Raw genomic sequence first — 16,395 nt, 5'->3', positions numbered from 1 at the left:
AGTTTCCTAGATGATCTGGGCTAAGAATCACCTATGTAGAGAGTCATCTTAATTACACCCTTGAAGTGCACCTTGTGATATATTGTATGGTTTAGGTCCTCTCTAATCTTACCAGCCATACTTCCCTCTGCAGATTTTAGTCATCTTTTGCCTGGTTGATTCTGTTTCCAATTTTGTGTAGTTTCTGAAACAAGGAGCGATGCCTGCTGGATCATCGGAATATAAAATCTCATCAGTGGCCAAAACATTAACTGAGGAAATACAGACACTTCAGAGATACTGTGTGTTCTGTTCCAGACTGCTGCTATAAAGCAAATATCACAATAAGGCAAGTCACATGAATTTGTTTCTCAATGCATATAAAAGCTACATCTATACCTCACTATAGTCTATTAAATATGCAATAGCATTATGTCTACAAAATCAATGTACATATCTTAATTGAAAATACTTTCTTGCTAAAAAAAATGCTTATGATTATCTAAGCCTTCAGCAAGTCTTAAACTTTTTGCTGGTAGAAGGTCTTGCTTCAATGTTGGTGACTGCTGACTGATGAGGGTGGTGGTGGGGTAAGGTTTTGGTGGCTGTGGCAATTTCTTATGACAAGAAAACATTGAAGTTTGCCACCTTGATAAGCTATTCTCTTCTCTGCAGTGCTATCAAATGTGATGCTATTTTATAGCATTGCCCACAGTGGAACTTCTCTCAAATTTGGAGTCAATCATCTCAAATTTGCCACCGCTTTACAAACTAAGTTTCTGTAATATTTCAAGTCATTTGTTGTCATTTCAACAGTATTCACAGCATCTGCATCAGGAGTAGTCTCCATCTCAGAAAACCACTTTCTTTGCTCATCCATAAGAAGCAGCTCCTCATCCGTTCAAGTTATATCATGAGATTGCAACAATATAGTCACACTTTAGGCTCTGCCTCTAAATCTAGTTCTTTTCCTATCTCCAGTACATCTGCAGTTACTTCCTCCACTGAAGTCTTGAACCCCTTAAAGTCATCTATTGATCTAAAGTTGCCTCTCAAAGTTTGGAATCTCCTTGTTCCAGACTCCCATTAATGTTGATATTTTGACCTCCTCCCACGAATCACAAATGTTCTTAATGGTCTGTAGAATGGTGAAATTTTTTCCTGAAGACTTTCAATTTGTTTACCCCAGTTCCATTAGAGGAATCACTATTTATGGCAGCTGTAGCCTTACAAACTGTGTTTCCTTAAGAGTAACACTTGAATGTCAAAATTACTTCTTGAGTCATGAGCTGCAGAATGTATGTTGTGTTAGCAGGCATGAAACAACATTAATCTTGTTCATCTCCATCAGAGCTCTTGAGTGACTATGTGCATTGATAATAAGCAGTAATATTTGAAAGAGATCTTTTTTTTCTGAGCAGTAGGTCTCAATATGAGCCTAAAATATTCAGTAAAACATGTGTAAACAGATGTGTTGTCATTCAGGCTTTGTTGTCCCAATTATAGAGTCTGGGTAGAGTAAATTTAGTATAATTATTAAGGGCCCTAGGTTTGGGGAATGACAAATGAGTACTAATTTCATCTTAAAGTCACCAGCTATACTAACTCCTAGTAAGAGAGTCAACCTGTCCTTTGAAGATTTGAAGCCAGGCATTGACTTCTCTCTGGCTGTGAAAGTCCTAGATGGCATCTTCTTCCAACAGAAGGCTGTTTCATCTACATTGAAAATCTGTTGTTTAGTGTAGCCACCTTCATCAATGGTCTTAGCTAGATCTTCTGGATAACTTGCTGAAGCTCCTCCATCAACACTTGCTGCTTCCCCTTGCATTTCTATGGTATAGAGACAGCTTCTTTCCTTAAACCTCATGAACCCACTTCTGCTAGCTTCCAACTTTTCTTCTGCAGCTTCCTCGCCTCTCTCAGCCTTCACAGAATTGAAGAGACTTAGGGCCTTGTTCCAGTTTAGGCTTTGGCTTAAGGGAATGTTGTGGCTGTTTTATCTTCTATCTAGACAACTACAACTTCCTCCGTATCAGCAATAAAGCTGTTTCGCTTTGTATTTATTTATTCGCTTCGTTATTATTCATGTGCTCGCTGGAGTAGTACTTTTAATTACCTTCAGGAACTTTTCCTTTGCATTCACAACTTGGCTAACTGCTTGGCACAACAGGCCTAGCTTTTGGCCTATCTTGGCTTTCCACACTGCCATCTTCACTAAGCTTCATCTTTTCTAGCTTTTGATTTAGAGTAAGAGACATGCAACTCTTCCTTTCACTTGAACACTTATAAGCCACTGTGGCCTCATTTCAACATTATTGTGTCTCAGAGAACAGGGAGGCTGAAGAGAGGAAGAGAGATGGGAGAAGGGCCAGTCAGTGGGGCAGTAAAAACACACACCTTTCTGGATTCACTTTGCTGTCTTCCATGGGCATGGTTTGTGGTGTCCAAAACAATTACAATAGTAACTTCATAGATCAACGGCCACAGATCACCATAACCGATATAGTAATAATGAAAGAGCCTAAATATTGCCAGAAACACCAAAATGTGACACAGAGACCCAAAGTGAGCATATGCTATTTGTTACCACAAACCTTCAATTTGTTAAAAAATGCAATAGAAATGAAGCACAATAAAATGAAGTATGCCTATAGGAAGTTTACTTCTCATAAGAATGATCTGGTTTATACTAACAAAGGTCTATTAAAAGTTTCTTGAGTCTTTAGAAAAAGGGTGCTTTAAATGCAGAAAGCAAAATGCAATGTAATAATATAAGCACAAGGAAAGAGATTATTCTTGCAATTTGCTTATGTAATTTTCTCTCTCTCTCTGAATTACGGGTAGTCTCTAAGGCATTCATCAGATAATAATCTGGTAGAAGAAATACAGAATATACCGATTCTCTTCCATTAGCAAAACCCTACCTGAAAGCTGAATATTGTATTGCAATTAGATATTATTACACTGCCTGCCTCTCAGGTGTCAGACCTTACCACCTACTCAAACAAAACCTTCTTGTCACTTCCTGACCCATAAACACAAATGCTTTCATTACATGATCAAAGCTGTGAAACAACTCCCAGACACTTCATCCTCACACAGGATGTGCTTTCAAACTTCCCTCCTGACTTGTTAAGGAAATAGCTACATCAAATCACAAACATCTAAGATTGAAGAGCACTGAAATGTTTGTTTGATATCCAGGATGATTTTAGGCAAGCTTTTATGTCAGTTTGAACTTTAGTTCCTTCATCTGTGAAATAAGAGTTTGGTCTAACCATTCTTGGGAAACTGTTATCTCATTGGCTAATTTTGTCCTGCAGATATGTTTTATTTGACCGGCAGTGCTTTTTTGTATGCATCTGTGGCCAACATTTAAAAATTAGAATGTTTATATAAAAGCCCATTTCTGGATTCTCTTTTAAACATTGGTAGATCTGGCCTACATTCTCCCTTGGCAACAATTAGCTGGAGCTGAGTCTTTACTGCTCATCCTCTTTAGACAGGGATTGTGCTCTCTAAGACATCAGAAGCCACAGCAAGTCCATGAATTGTAGTGTTGCGTGGCCCCAGGAGCACTAGAAATTGTGCTAGAAATCTATAATCTAATAACTTCTTCTATCTCTTCCAATTCTGAAATCCTATGGTTCTCTTTTTCCTAAAAGCCTAACACGTACTGCTGAGATAAGCGGAGGAGGATGTAAAGGGATAGAACAGAATAAAGAAAGAGGGGAATTCTAGACTTCCTCTCTGACTCTCTGACAGGGTATGGATGTAAAATCTCTCTTGAATAAGCAGATTTAATCCTTTCAAAATTTGATCCATAATTTCAGAGGGGGTGGAGGGTGAGAAAACATACAAACACTACCATCATATTTACCAGATGATGTGGAATTGAAAATAACACCAAAGCAGAAAAATAGCTACTAAATTTTATTTTTGTTATTTTTTAAATTTATTTACTTATTTTTTAAGAGAGATGTGGTCTCACTATGTTGCCCAGGCTGGTCTCAAACTCCTGAGCTCAAGTGATCTTCCCACCTCAGCCTCCCAAAGTGCTGGGGTTACAGGCATGAGCCACCACGCCCAGTTATTTTTAAAATTTAGATTTGTTCTCTTTCAAATTATAAAAACTCATCCATATTAATTTTAGAATATTTGAAAATTCAAAAATGTATAAAATAGTACCAGGTTAGCATCCATTCAATTCAAATCCTAAGGATAATATATATGTATATCATATTTATGTGTGTGTATATATATAATATGTATTGCTTAAACCTGCAAGCTATGGTTTAAGCATTAGGCTTACAAATTGTGGTACTATAGTTTGAATTTACAGGGGATAAAGTGGTTTTATTCAATTGATTATAACAAGCATTAATACACACTTACAAGGTACTAGAAGGGATACAAAGACAAACCAAGAAAATAATATTGGGCTTCTGGAGGCACAAAATCTATGATGGGAGAATAATACAAGTACACATACCACTAATGCAAAGCAAAAGGAGGCAAAAAGAAAATTATCAAATACAATAATTATTTGGTCTGTAATTCAGAGAAGCTTGCCAATGAAATAATGGAAAAAAAATTATTTTCCAAACAGTTTTAAAGAAATTCAAAATTTCACCATTATGCCAAATAGCACAATTCAAAAAATAAAAATATTGACTAAAATGAAAAAAAAAGCCTGTTATTGAAATGCATGTATATGATTATAATTAATCAAAATTATTCTAAGATAAAAAATTAAGTATTGTGAAGATAAGTAGAAAATAGAGCCCCTGCCTACTCACTGTTTGTGTAAAAGAAATGAAACGAGGTTTCATAGCTTACTGGATGAACATTGTGCTTTCTCCCAGGCTTCATGGGGCCTAGCACTGAAAGTAGTTACCATAATTTAAAATACCTCTGTTTGAAAGATGTTTATTCTCCCATAGATCATAAACCAACCAGAATATGATTTCAGTGTGTTATGAATAATACTTGAAAGAATTTTTTTGTTTTTGTTTTTGATCCATAATTTGTTTTGATCCATAATTTCAGAGGGGTGGAAGGTGAGAAAACATACAAACACCACCACAGTATTTACCAGACGATGTGGAATCGAAAATAATACCAAAGCAGAAAGAGTTACCAAATTTTATATTTTTTTATTTTTAAAATTTACTTTTTAAATAGAGATGTGGTCTCATTATGTTGCCCAAGCTGGTCTCGAACTCCTGGCCTCAGGTGATCTTCCCACCTTTTTTAGAGACAGGGTCTTGCTCTGTCATCCAAGCTGGAGTACAGTGGTGGGATCATAGTTCACTGTAGCCTCAAACTCCTGAGCTCAAGCAATCCTCCTGCCTAAGCCTTCCAAGTAGCTAGGACAACAGGTGCGTGCCACCATACCCCATTCTTTTTTTTTTAAACTTTTGGTAAAGGTGGGGTCTCACATGTTTCCCAGACTGGTCTCAAACTTCTGGGCTCAAACAATCCTCCCGCCTTGTACTCTCAAAGTGCTGGGATTACAGGCGTGAGCCTCCACACCTCACCTGACAGAAAAATTATCATGTCTAAATACACACTTGCAAGGGAAAAAAAATTCTCCTGGTTTAATTTAAAAATGATAATTGGTTTATTTTTCAAAGGACCTTAATTCTGAAAATGTTTTGCTATAGTATATTTGTATATGTAAAACCTAATGATAGCCTCAATAACTTCCCAAATGAAATTACAATTAGATGCCATGTATTCTGTTTGCAAGTCTACAATGTTATTAAATTATTATTGCCTTGCAAATTAATACTTGCTTTCATTTGTAAGTGACCAAGAGGAAAACAGGCTCAAAATGAATGTCAAACAGTAAATACAAATCACTAAAATTTATGGCTATTTTTCCCTAGAATCTTTTTCTCGTACTTGAAAAATACAACTTATACTAATAATAAAACATTTTTCCTAGCTTTTTATAGTTTTAAAGACTGATATGCTTGCCACAGGATTTTTATTTGTCCAGAAAACTAAGTGGAAATAAGACACTGTCCACCAGATAAAACATGGATAATAAATGTAATCCTTCACATTTACTGCTGATCTATCAAATGTACAGTTGTCAACCTAATCAATTCCTTTGATGGATCAACATTTCCATTACTAAGAGAAAACGTATACCTCTGAGCTGTGTATTATTCTCTGCAGACACAAAAAAATGAGGTTGTCATGGCAACTGCAAACTGTGGAGATTCTGTCATGACCCAGTAGCAGTATAATGGAAAACATCTGCCTGGAAATCACAAGCTGGCACAAGGTCTTTGGAAGGAAGTATTTGAGAGAATTTAACCTTAAAAGATTTCCTCAGTTTTGATCTCAGACTCTCTTACTGCAAACATGTAAAATGTTGCTATTCTTGCCAACATCTGCAGCACACAACATAAAGGAAAACACACAGAGAAAAGGTGACTTTTTTCATTGCCAGTATTGCATCTATTGAGGAATTTAGTTCTTAAACATGAAATTATTTATTATAAACTCTCTCTTGGTACCCCCCTCTCCAAAGCAGAGCAATTATTTTCACTATTTGACCCAAACCAATTGTCTCAAACTGAAGCTTATGCCAGGGTTTGTTAAAACACAGATTCCTGGGCCCTACCTCCAAAGTAGGTTGGAGTGGGGTCTGAGAATCAGTATTTCTAAAGTTCTCAGATTGCTGCCAGCCCATTAACCACATTTTGAGAGCCACAGATTTACACCAAGAACCTCAAAGAATTCTAAAAGCTTGCTAGCAATAAAATCTTGAAAGGAGTAAGAAAAATGTCAGGTCTTATTACAAAGCTCATTTCAAAGATAGAGACTACAATGGTTTCTATACCTGGCCCCGCCTGAGAAAGCACTTCTAAAATACAAAATTCCAGGTTTCATCTCTAGAGATTTGGTTTTAGCTGGTCTTGGATGGAACTCAGTGCCTGGATATTTTTAACCAGCATCCCAAGTTGATTCAGATGCAAGCATGTTCCTCTACTTTGTTTGAGAACCACTAATTTGAAGCATATTATGACTTTGTGGTGTAAAATAATCACCTGTGAAGTTTGTTTGACAATTCTTATCATTGCCCCAGCTACTCAGAATCAGTAGGTCTGGATGACCCAGTAGTTTGAAAGTTTATAAAATATCACCAGGTGAACATGATCACAAACAGTCATCAAAGTGAGATGTTCAAGACATCTACTGAAGTTGGAGGAAGAAATTTCTAGAAATCTTTTTAAAGTTTTTTTTAATCTGAAAACTAAGAAAGGCATTAAGATTTACTCATACACTGGCTCTCACATTGAGTCCACATGGAAGGGAAGGATGGGCCTTCAACTTGGAGAAAGGGTTGTCAGTAAAGCTTTCATTTCAGTATTATTAGAACACACAGGAGTTCATTGGACTCATTTAGGTGGGCTTATGGATTTTTTTTTCCGAGATTCCACTTACCTAAGCCTTCAGAAATGAACTAGTGGCTTAAAAAGAACGTCGATTGAATAAAAATATTACAAATAATGCAACCGCAAGTGAGCTACCTGAAAACGAAGAGCTGACAAATTGTTTTACTCTCAGTACAAACTCTTTATCAACCTTATTAAGAGAAATAATCTACTAAGATCTTACAAGAAGTTGATCAATAAAAAGAAAATAATTATTTCCTGAAAGAAACACAGGCTGTGGAAAGAGCATTTTGAAAATGGATGTTTTCATTATTATATAATTTTGTTGCTGAAAGTCTACAAACTTAAAAACATGGAAACCAAATTTTCTGACTTGATAAAAAGTCTTCAAAAGGCTTTCCTTAGGTTCTGAAGCATTGTTTAAAGCTAATTAACACCTGATTAGTTTACAAGAAAAACTGATGAACACTGGGGAAGATTAAGATTTGCTTGAATTTTAACAAAAACTAGACACTGGATCTGCATGTGCCTTTTTTTTTCTTTTTTCTTTCTTTCTTTTTTTTTTTTTTTTTTTTTGAGAGAGAAAGAGAGTCTTGCTGTGTTGCCCAGGATGAAGTATAGTGGTGCAATCTTGGCTCACTGCAACCTCTGCCTCCCAGGTTCAAGCAATTCTTATGCCTCAGCCTCTTGAGTGGCTGGGGCTACAGGTGTGTGCCACCACACCCAGCTAATTTTTGTATTTTTGGTAGAGATGGGGTTTTTGCATGATGGCCAGGTGGGTCTTGAACTCCTGGCCTCAAGTGATCCTCCACCTCAGTCTCCCAAAGTGGTGGGCTTAACAGGCGTGAACCACCATGCCCAGCCTGCCTGTGCCTTTGATGTTGGACTTCACAGTCTCTGTAACTAATTTCTGTTGTTGAAGCCACCCAGTCTACGGTATTCTGTTACAGCAGCTTGAACTGAGTAGAAGAGTGTTTATCATACCAGTAAGTATTTAATATGGTTTTACAGATTATACAAAGTGATTTCATCTCACATTTGCTAAAATTTTATTGAGTAAATAAGTATATAATGGTTAAATCATGCTAATTCTTGTCTGGTATGTCTGGAATGGTACTTTATGAGGAATAAAATGGCTTTACGTTTATATAACACACCTTGTCTTTGTTTAGATTCAAGTTCTATGCCTCTGAGTTATACATTTTCTACCTTGTTTCACCTAAGAGCATGTCTTTGGAGATGCAAATTGAGTTGCCTTGCTAACAATTGTTTGGGGCATGGAACAGATAACCAGGAGATTAATATTCTAAAGTTAGAGAAATGATTTAAAAACTGGCAAATGAAAAATATTATGAATCTATAATATCTGCCTCTGCCTGTGTGTCTGTATGTCTGTGTGTTTATATGTGTCATGTATATGCGATATTTTACTACCAAATTACATGAAAAAAACTCTAATCAATTGGCTTAAAGAAAAGTAAGTGCTTAAACCAAATATTTTATGTAATAGAATCTAGCTCAAATGCTTTTTAGTTCATGTGACTTTAATAATCTTTGGTAAATACAATGGTTTCTAAATTCGCTCTAGTAATTTAAAATTTTAAAGTTGGCCAGGTGCGGTGGCTCACGCCTGTAATTCCAGCACTTTGGGAGGCCGAGGCGGGCAGATCATGAGGTCAGGAGATTGAGACCATCCTGGCTAACACGCTGAAACCCCGTCTCTACTAAAAATACAAAAAATTAGCCGGGCATGGTGGCAGGTGCCTGTAGTCCCAGCTACTCGGGAGGCTGAGGCAGGAGAATGGCATGAACCCTGGAGGCAGAGTTTTCAATGAGCCTAGATCGCGCCACTGCACTCCAGCCTCTGGGTGACAGAGGGAGACTCCGTCTCAAAAAAAACAAAAAAAAACAAAACAAAAACTTGAAGTTATTTTATGTTTAATTAAGAAATCCTTGTTTTTTCATGGGAAATAAAAGTTACTAAGAGCTACTAATAATTACTATATGTAATTAAAGCTACCAAATATAAGAAACTGTTCTACATACACAGTGTCTAAAGAAAGTAAGATGTGTTTTTGGTGAAATTTAATTTTAAAAAAACATGAGGATGTGGTTTTTGCTGAAGGAAAAGTAATTTTGTCTAGTTGAGAAGCTATTTAAAGGTTGCCTCAAAATAAAGGGGAAAATAATATAAATAAAACTAAATGGCTAGAAAGAGAAAAGATAAAAGTGTGGGGAATTAGGAACCTTTGATTCCTGGGTGGCCAGGTGGTCACCCATGGTATGGAGCTGCAGCTGGGCTGCATTCAGTTACGAAAGATAAAGGGCACCAGAAAAATTTAGAGATGGGTCCAACTCCTGGGGAGTTGGTTCACTGGATGCATAAGGAAATGTGGACTAATAAGGAAACAGCAAAATATTTAATCCCTCGGTTATTGTTATCTATAATAGCTAAAATGAAAGTAAAAAAGTTTTGGATTGGGCCTTGAGAATGGACCAAGCTCAGATGTGAATCTGCCTGAGCTCAGGTCACTAGCCTCAAAGCTACCCACAAAGGGGAAAATTATGCCAGGGCAACAGAAAGTACCTCTGAGACCTGTGGTTACCAAGAATGTAGTCAGTGTGGGGAAAGGGCAAAACAGTATTGAAACCAAAGGGTGTAATATTAACGAATTGTCCCATTTTATGTTACAGATCACCAGTTTATCACCGGCTTCCTAAGGAACCTTTACTAAAATGGACTGTGAGTGTAGCTAACTTAGGGGCAATATCTTTGATTTTAAATGCTGCAGAGTGGAAAAACATGTTTGAGTTGATGCAGAACCCACAGCTCACTATTGAACAATCGTGGACCGGTATGTGTAATTGAGACACACAGGAGGTTAATCCTGAGGGGGCAGCCAGCTGGGTGAACTGGATAAAAGCCACTGTAATATCTATTTATCCCGAGAAGGGGGACTACCAACTCCCTTATAAATGCCAAGTGGAGCACCCCAGATGAGGCAGCTGATACGTTTCATATACAAACCATGGGGGACTGGCTGTATAATGACTGGGATATTAGCCCATTAAATATGCCTCTTACCCAGGTGATAAATGCTGTGGTTGAGGGGGCCCCTTCTCCATGGCACAACAGTTTGGGAAGCCTTATCAAATTTGCTGTCTCAGCTTCCCCTCATAGGTCTTACAGATGCTAATAAAACATTAGGGTAATTAACGCAAAAAATGGAAAAGAAGGAGGAGAGTCATGGGACTTGTCCCAGGGCAGGGAAAATCTTTAGAGGGATATTAAGAAATGATATAAATAAAATGGAAATTTATGAGGTTAAAACAAAGCTTTTAGTATAACACCACTGAAGGTTGGGTGGACCAAAGGGAGCTCCTGCTGGTCTCCCAACATTAAAGGGCTCCAAACCAGTTTTCTGTCTTTACCCCAGAGAGATGTTATTTTTTAAGAAATCCAAAGGCAAAGATTGCAATGAGAAAGCTGACCAAAAATTGCCTGAGGCAATATTGAGGCAGGTTAATCCAGATAAAGATTGACAAAAGGGCCAAAGTCTCAGCTCAACCCCCTGCTGGGAACCCAAATCCTTTTTCACCAGAGAGGATAAAATGGTCTGGGGGTGAAAAGAAAAAGTTTCTTGGGACCAGAACATAAAAATGTAAGGGCTGATAGGATTATCGAAGTTGGAATGTTTAAACAAGCTTAACATGAAGTAGTCTTGACTCCTTTACCTAAAGGCTTTAGGAAAATAGATATTGTATTTGACTGGAGGATGTTTCACTTACCTGATACTATAAAACAGAAGATATATAAATCTGCCCTTCAAGCAATATTAATTAGACATGCTAAATGAGAACCAGTAAAATTTTCCAAGCTCACAGGGTGTAGAGTAGAAGCTGAAGTGCTGGTAGGGACAAATTCTCCACTTAATAGCCCTTTGAGGAATGTTTACTGGGGCTTATGGCAAAACCCTGTGAGTGCTTCCCAAAGACAACTAATGGGACTTTGAACTAGAGAATTTCCACTTGAGAAGAATTTACTGCCTTGCTATGGGACATTAACTGAAACCATCCCTGTCACTGGAGGACATAAAATGATCTGACATCTGAAATACCCATGCTGTCTGGGATGATGTCAGAGAAACACTGTAAGAGGGATAGCAGTGTCCAGAGGGTTCCATCATAAAATGGGAATAGTTTATATAGGATCATCCTGCCTGGGGAATTCAAAAGGAGATACTCATGAGCAGGGAGCCTCTTTTTCTCTAGGACTGACTCTGGAACCTGGGGAGGAGCTGCTGGCTCCTACCGTGCCTGATAAACAGCTCTCACCTGACTGACAAAGGGTTGCTTGGTTTGTGGATGGCAGTTCCAAGGTGAATGGACAACATCCTGTTCAGAAGGCTGCTACTCTGATTGTAAAGTGTACTTTTGTGAACAGAATTTACCTTTCTCTCTAATTGAGTTCTCCAAAATGTGGAAATTACTTGTGAGTATTCTTATTTTATGGCAATATAGTTATTTGCATAAATTCAGTAAGAATGTGTTTTCTTTTGAAACAGGTCACAATTGGAGATGCTGGTTATTTTACCAAGGCTTTGACCAGAACAACATATTTTCAGGCAAATTTCCAGCAAAACTAACTTTAAAAAGAGCCTACATGGCCAATGACTATTCGTGTGGCACATTATGCAAATAATGAGGCCTAATATAATAAGCCTAAAACTTATTTTGTATATAAATTGGTCTTATTATTATTTCTCCTTGGTTGAGAAAGATTATAGGAAGAGAGAATAGTGTTTCAAAGGAAAACTGTAACACACCTGATGCTAGATTCCAGCCGAACCTTTGTTTTTGGGTTCTTACTATTTGCTACAATAAGTCTTCAAAGCTGAAACAGGTTAAGATTTTCATGACTTAGCTACCTAATAAAATAGGTTCCATTTTCTATTCTGGCACACACATTCTCTTCTAGTGTTCAAATTATTAATGTTACTTAATCTCTTGTTTTACTTCTTCCAGATAAACTGGAATCATGATATCCTGAAGACTAAAGATGATTCACCTAAGGCCTGTATAGCTCCCTAATTTGAAATCCCACTGGACCCTATCTGCTTTTCATTGCCAATGCTGTGCTGCTAAAACTATCCAAGCATGCTCCCAGAGACTATCACCAAAGGGGTGGGCTTGGGATTGTAAGGGCCAGTTTCTGGCTTCTGACCAGAGGCTGCACTTCCCAGCCTGTCAGAGTGACCACCCTGCAGGCTGCAACGTGCATGAGAAATAGAGCTCTCTTTTCCAAATTTATGACCCCTGTCGTTCTTCAGCTGACACTACAAATATATGCAAACAACAACAACAACAACAACAACCCTGCTTCAATTGTGAAAAAGTAACATATGAGGCATCTTAGGTCGTCTGTACTTAACTTTTCTTGAAGTTCATGTTGCTTGCTAAGCATAGTGTATTAACCCATTCTTCTGTTGCTATGAAGGACTACCTGAGACTGGGTAATTTATAAAGAAAAGAGGTTTAATTGGCTCATGGTTCCACAAGCTGTACAGGAAGCATGGCTGGTGAGGCCTCAGGAAACTTACAATCATGGAAAAAGGGTAAGAGAAAGGAGGTATGTCTTACATGGCTTCAGAATGAGGAAGGGAGTGAAGGGGGAGGTTCCACCCACTTTTAAACAACCAGATCTCGTGAGAAGTCACTCGGTATCATGAGAACAGCAAGGGAGAAATCTGCCCCCATGATCCATTCACCTCCCACCAGGCCGTTCCTCCAACATCTAGACCATTTCACATAGTGAGTTAGAGCCACAAAGAACAGTTTAATAAATTTAGAGAAAAACACCTTTTTTAAGACCCCTCTGAGTTGCTAGATCACATCATATACAGGCAAGGTGAAATAAAACAACTATAATAAATATATAGTGCATTAATATAGTCTTTAAAGATCAGAGACCTTAAAGTGTTTTTTCTAATATGTGATCTTATTTTTACCAACAGCAATAGCAATTTTAATTAATATTATTTCCAAAAACTTGAATATGTGTAATTTCAATTCTAACAAATTAAGTAGTTTTCTTCAAGAGTGTTCAAGAGTGTACAGTTAAAGAAAATAAGCTTTGTGCTCTTTTTTCACTGGCCATACAAATCATAGACATTCCAGACTCCTACCTTCTACAAGCGTCTTCCCTCTGCTGCTTTTATTCTTCCTTATCCTCCTCAGGACCCTTTTGTTCTCATCTTCACTGTCCTTTCTTCCCTTTTAGGAGAATAGGGGTAGTTGAGGATTTGTTTTCTTTTTCAGAAATTTATCTGTTACTCATTGACAGAAATTCAGAATCACAAAGCACTAAGAGATCAGTAATATGATAGCTGCTATTAAGTTGCCTTTAAAATGAGAGATATGAATGAAGGAGACTTTTAAGATGTTAGACTGGTGCTTTTTGATCATTAATGAACATACAAATCTCCTGGAGATTTTGTTAAAATGCAGAGTTTGGAAGTGGAATCTGGTATTTTGCATTTCTACCAAGCTGCCAGTGATAGGGACCACACTTTGAGTAGCAGAGTAGGGCTGAGGGCTGTTTCTTTAGGAATGCACTCCTTCCTTGAAGAAAGTTGGCCTTCCTTTCTGTTCTTCCTTTTCTCTTTAGGAATGCACCCTTTCCTTGAAGTTTCTGAAAAACACTGAAGATTTTAATTGATTTTCATTATTTTTTCTTGCTGCTTTATTTCTCTGCATTTACTCCAGGCAAGATTTATACAGCATTTGTGAAATCTACAGTTTCTCTTAGGCATGAATGTTGTACTAGGGCATGTGTCATGGTATATTAGTGATAATGAGAAGATAAAACAACATTACTGCAATTCTCTCAACAAGATAATTATGTTTCCTTTTTTAAAACCAATAACCCCAAAAGCTATTTTCTAAACAGCTACTCTGTTCCAGGTACCATATATGGTCCTGGGGATCCAAAGCTGAAAATTACAGAATTCCTGCTAATAAATTAAGATCTAAAATCTGTTGTGATAAGTGTTGTAAGATACTGTAGTAGGGTATGTATAAATCACAGGGGAGAACAGAGGCATAATTTAATTTGCATATGGGGAAGAGTGAAAGGCCATAGACAGGAGGTAAATTTTTAGCTGGAGCTTAAATGGAATGGTAAGGTTTTGCCTATCAGAAAAAGGAGAGAGAATATTCTTTGCAGAGAAAACTGCATGTTCAAAGGTGTGGAGGCATTTGCTCTTGGGTAGCAGTTTTTGAGGTAGGTGTTATGCTTACCATTGACAAGTTCTTTACAGGAGAAATAAATAGAGTTACTGTGAGAAATACTATTATGTTATTCACAGTGACTAATACTTGAAATAAGAAGCAGGTAATTTTGAAAAAAGATAAACAGTACTCGAAAGCGTAAGTGGACATTAAATGTTTTATAATTACTCTCCACACTACCTTTTTAAAGAAAGCTTTTGTGAAAGAAAGAAAAAGGGAAAGAATATGTTTTCATCACTTGTTAAAGAGGTTTCCATGGAAAAGCTGAATCTCAGTTTAGGGCTTACTGATGGTGAAATTACTAGAGTGTGCTTCAGAAACATATCCTAATTTCTGAAGATTAGTGTCCCTGTGGAATTAGAGCCAATTTCTTATGACTACGTATTTTTTTAGGATATCTCCACATGCAGAGGGAAGCCTTCTAAGAGGCATACTTTATATAGTCTGGGTTTTTTTCAGTTGTTTTTTGCTTTTTTTATCAGCCACTTTGGCTAATAGACACTTACTAGGGGAAGACTAAAAGCAAAACAGTACAGAATAAGCTTCAAATATAGTGAGCATTAAATTGATGTGTTCATTACATATTTATATTGCACTTTTTGAACTGAACGCCTTTCTAGGCTTTTTAAATAAAATGATGAAAAGATAAAATCCCTGACCCCAAAAAGCTCTATTCTAGTGTAAGCACAACTAAGCAATAGGGGTTTCTATTTGATCAGTGGTTCTCAAAGTGAGTCCACAGAGCCTTGGGGGTCCCTGAAACCCTTTCAGAGGCACCATGAGGTCAAAATACTGTTCATAATTACACTGAGATGTTATCTGCTTCTTTTCACTATGTTGACATTTGCATAGATGATTCAGAAGCCATGGTGTGTGAAACTGCTGGTGCTTTAGCAGGAATATCATCTGTGACACCAAATTGTTCTGTACCTTTGATTATTGTATTCTTACTGCCACACACTTGGAGGAGAAAGGAGAGAGAGAGAGAGAGAGATACAGAGAGAGAGAGAGAGAAAGAAAGAGAGAGAAAGAAAGAGAGAGAAAGAGAGAGAAATTTCTCTTAAGAATGTCCTGGATACCTATGTAATAAACCTGCACATCCTGCACACATACCCCAGAACTTAAAATAAAATAAAATGTAAAAATAACTAGTTTTATTAAATCCTGACCTGTAATCCCAGTGCTTTGGGAGGCTAAGACAAGAGGATTGTTTAATGCCAGTAGTTTAAGTCTAGCCTGGGCAATATAGTGAGATCCTGTCTCTACAAAAATTTTAAAAATTAGCCAGCCATAGTGGCCCGCACCACACCTATACTCTCAGCTACTCAGGAGGCTAAGGTGGGAGTTTTGTTTGAGCCCAGGAGTTCTAAGTTACAGTGAACTATGATTGTGCTACTGCATTCCAGCCTGGGCAATAAAGTGAGATCCTGCTTCTTTTTTTTTTTTTTAATTTATTTATTTATTATTATTATACTTTAAGTTTTAGGGTACATGTGCACAATGTGCAAGTTAGTTACATATGTATACATGTGCCATGCTGGTGCACTGCACCCACTAACTCGTCATCTAGCATTAGGTATATCTCCCAATGCTATCCCTCCCCCCTCCCCCCACCCCACAGCAGTCCCCAGAGTGTGATGTTCCCCTTCCTGTGTCCATGTGTTCTCATTGTTCAATTCCCACCTATGAGTAAGAATATGCAGTGTTTGGTTTT

The sequence above is a fragment of the Homo sapiens genome, chromosome 2 (genome assembly GCF_000001405.40).
Source record: "Homo sapiens chromosome 2, GRCh38.p14 Primary Assembly".
Classification (NCBI taxonomy): Eukaryota; Metazoa; Chordata; class Mammalia; order Primates; family Hominidae; genus Homo; species Homo sapiens.
The sequence above is the reverse complement of the archived record's forward strand: the minus strand, read 5'-3'. Positions refer to the sequence as shown.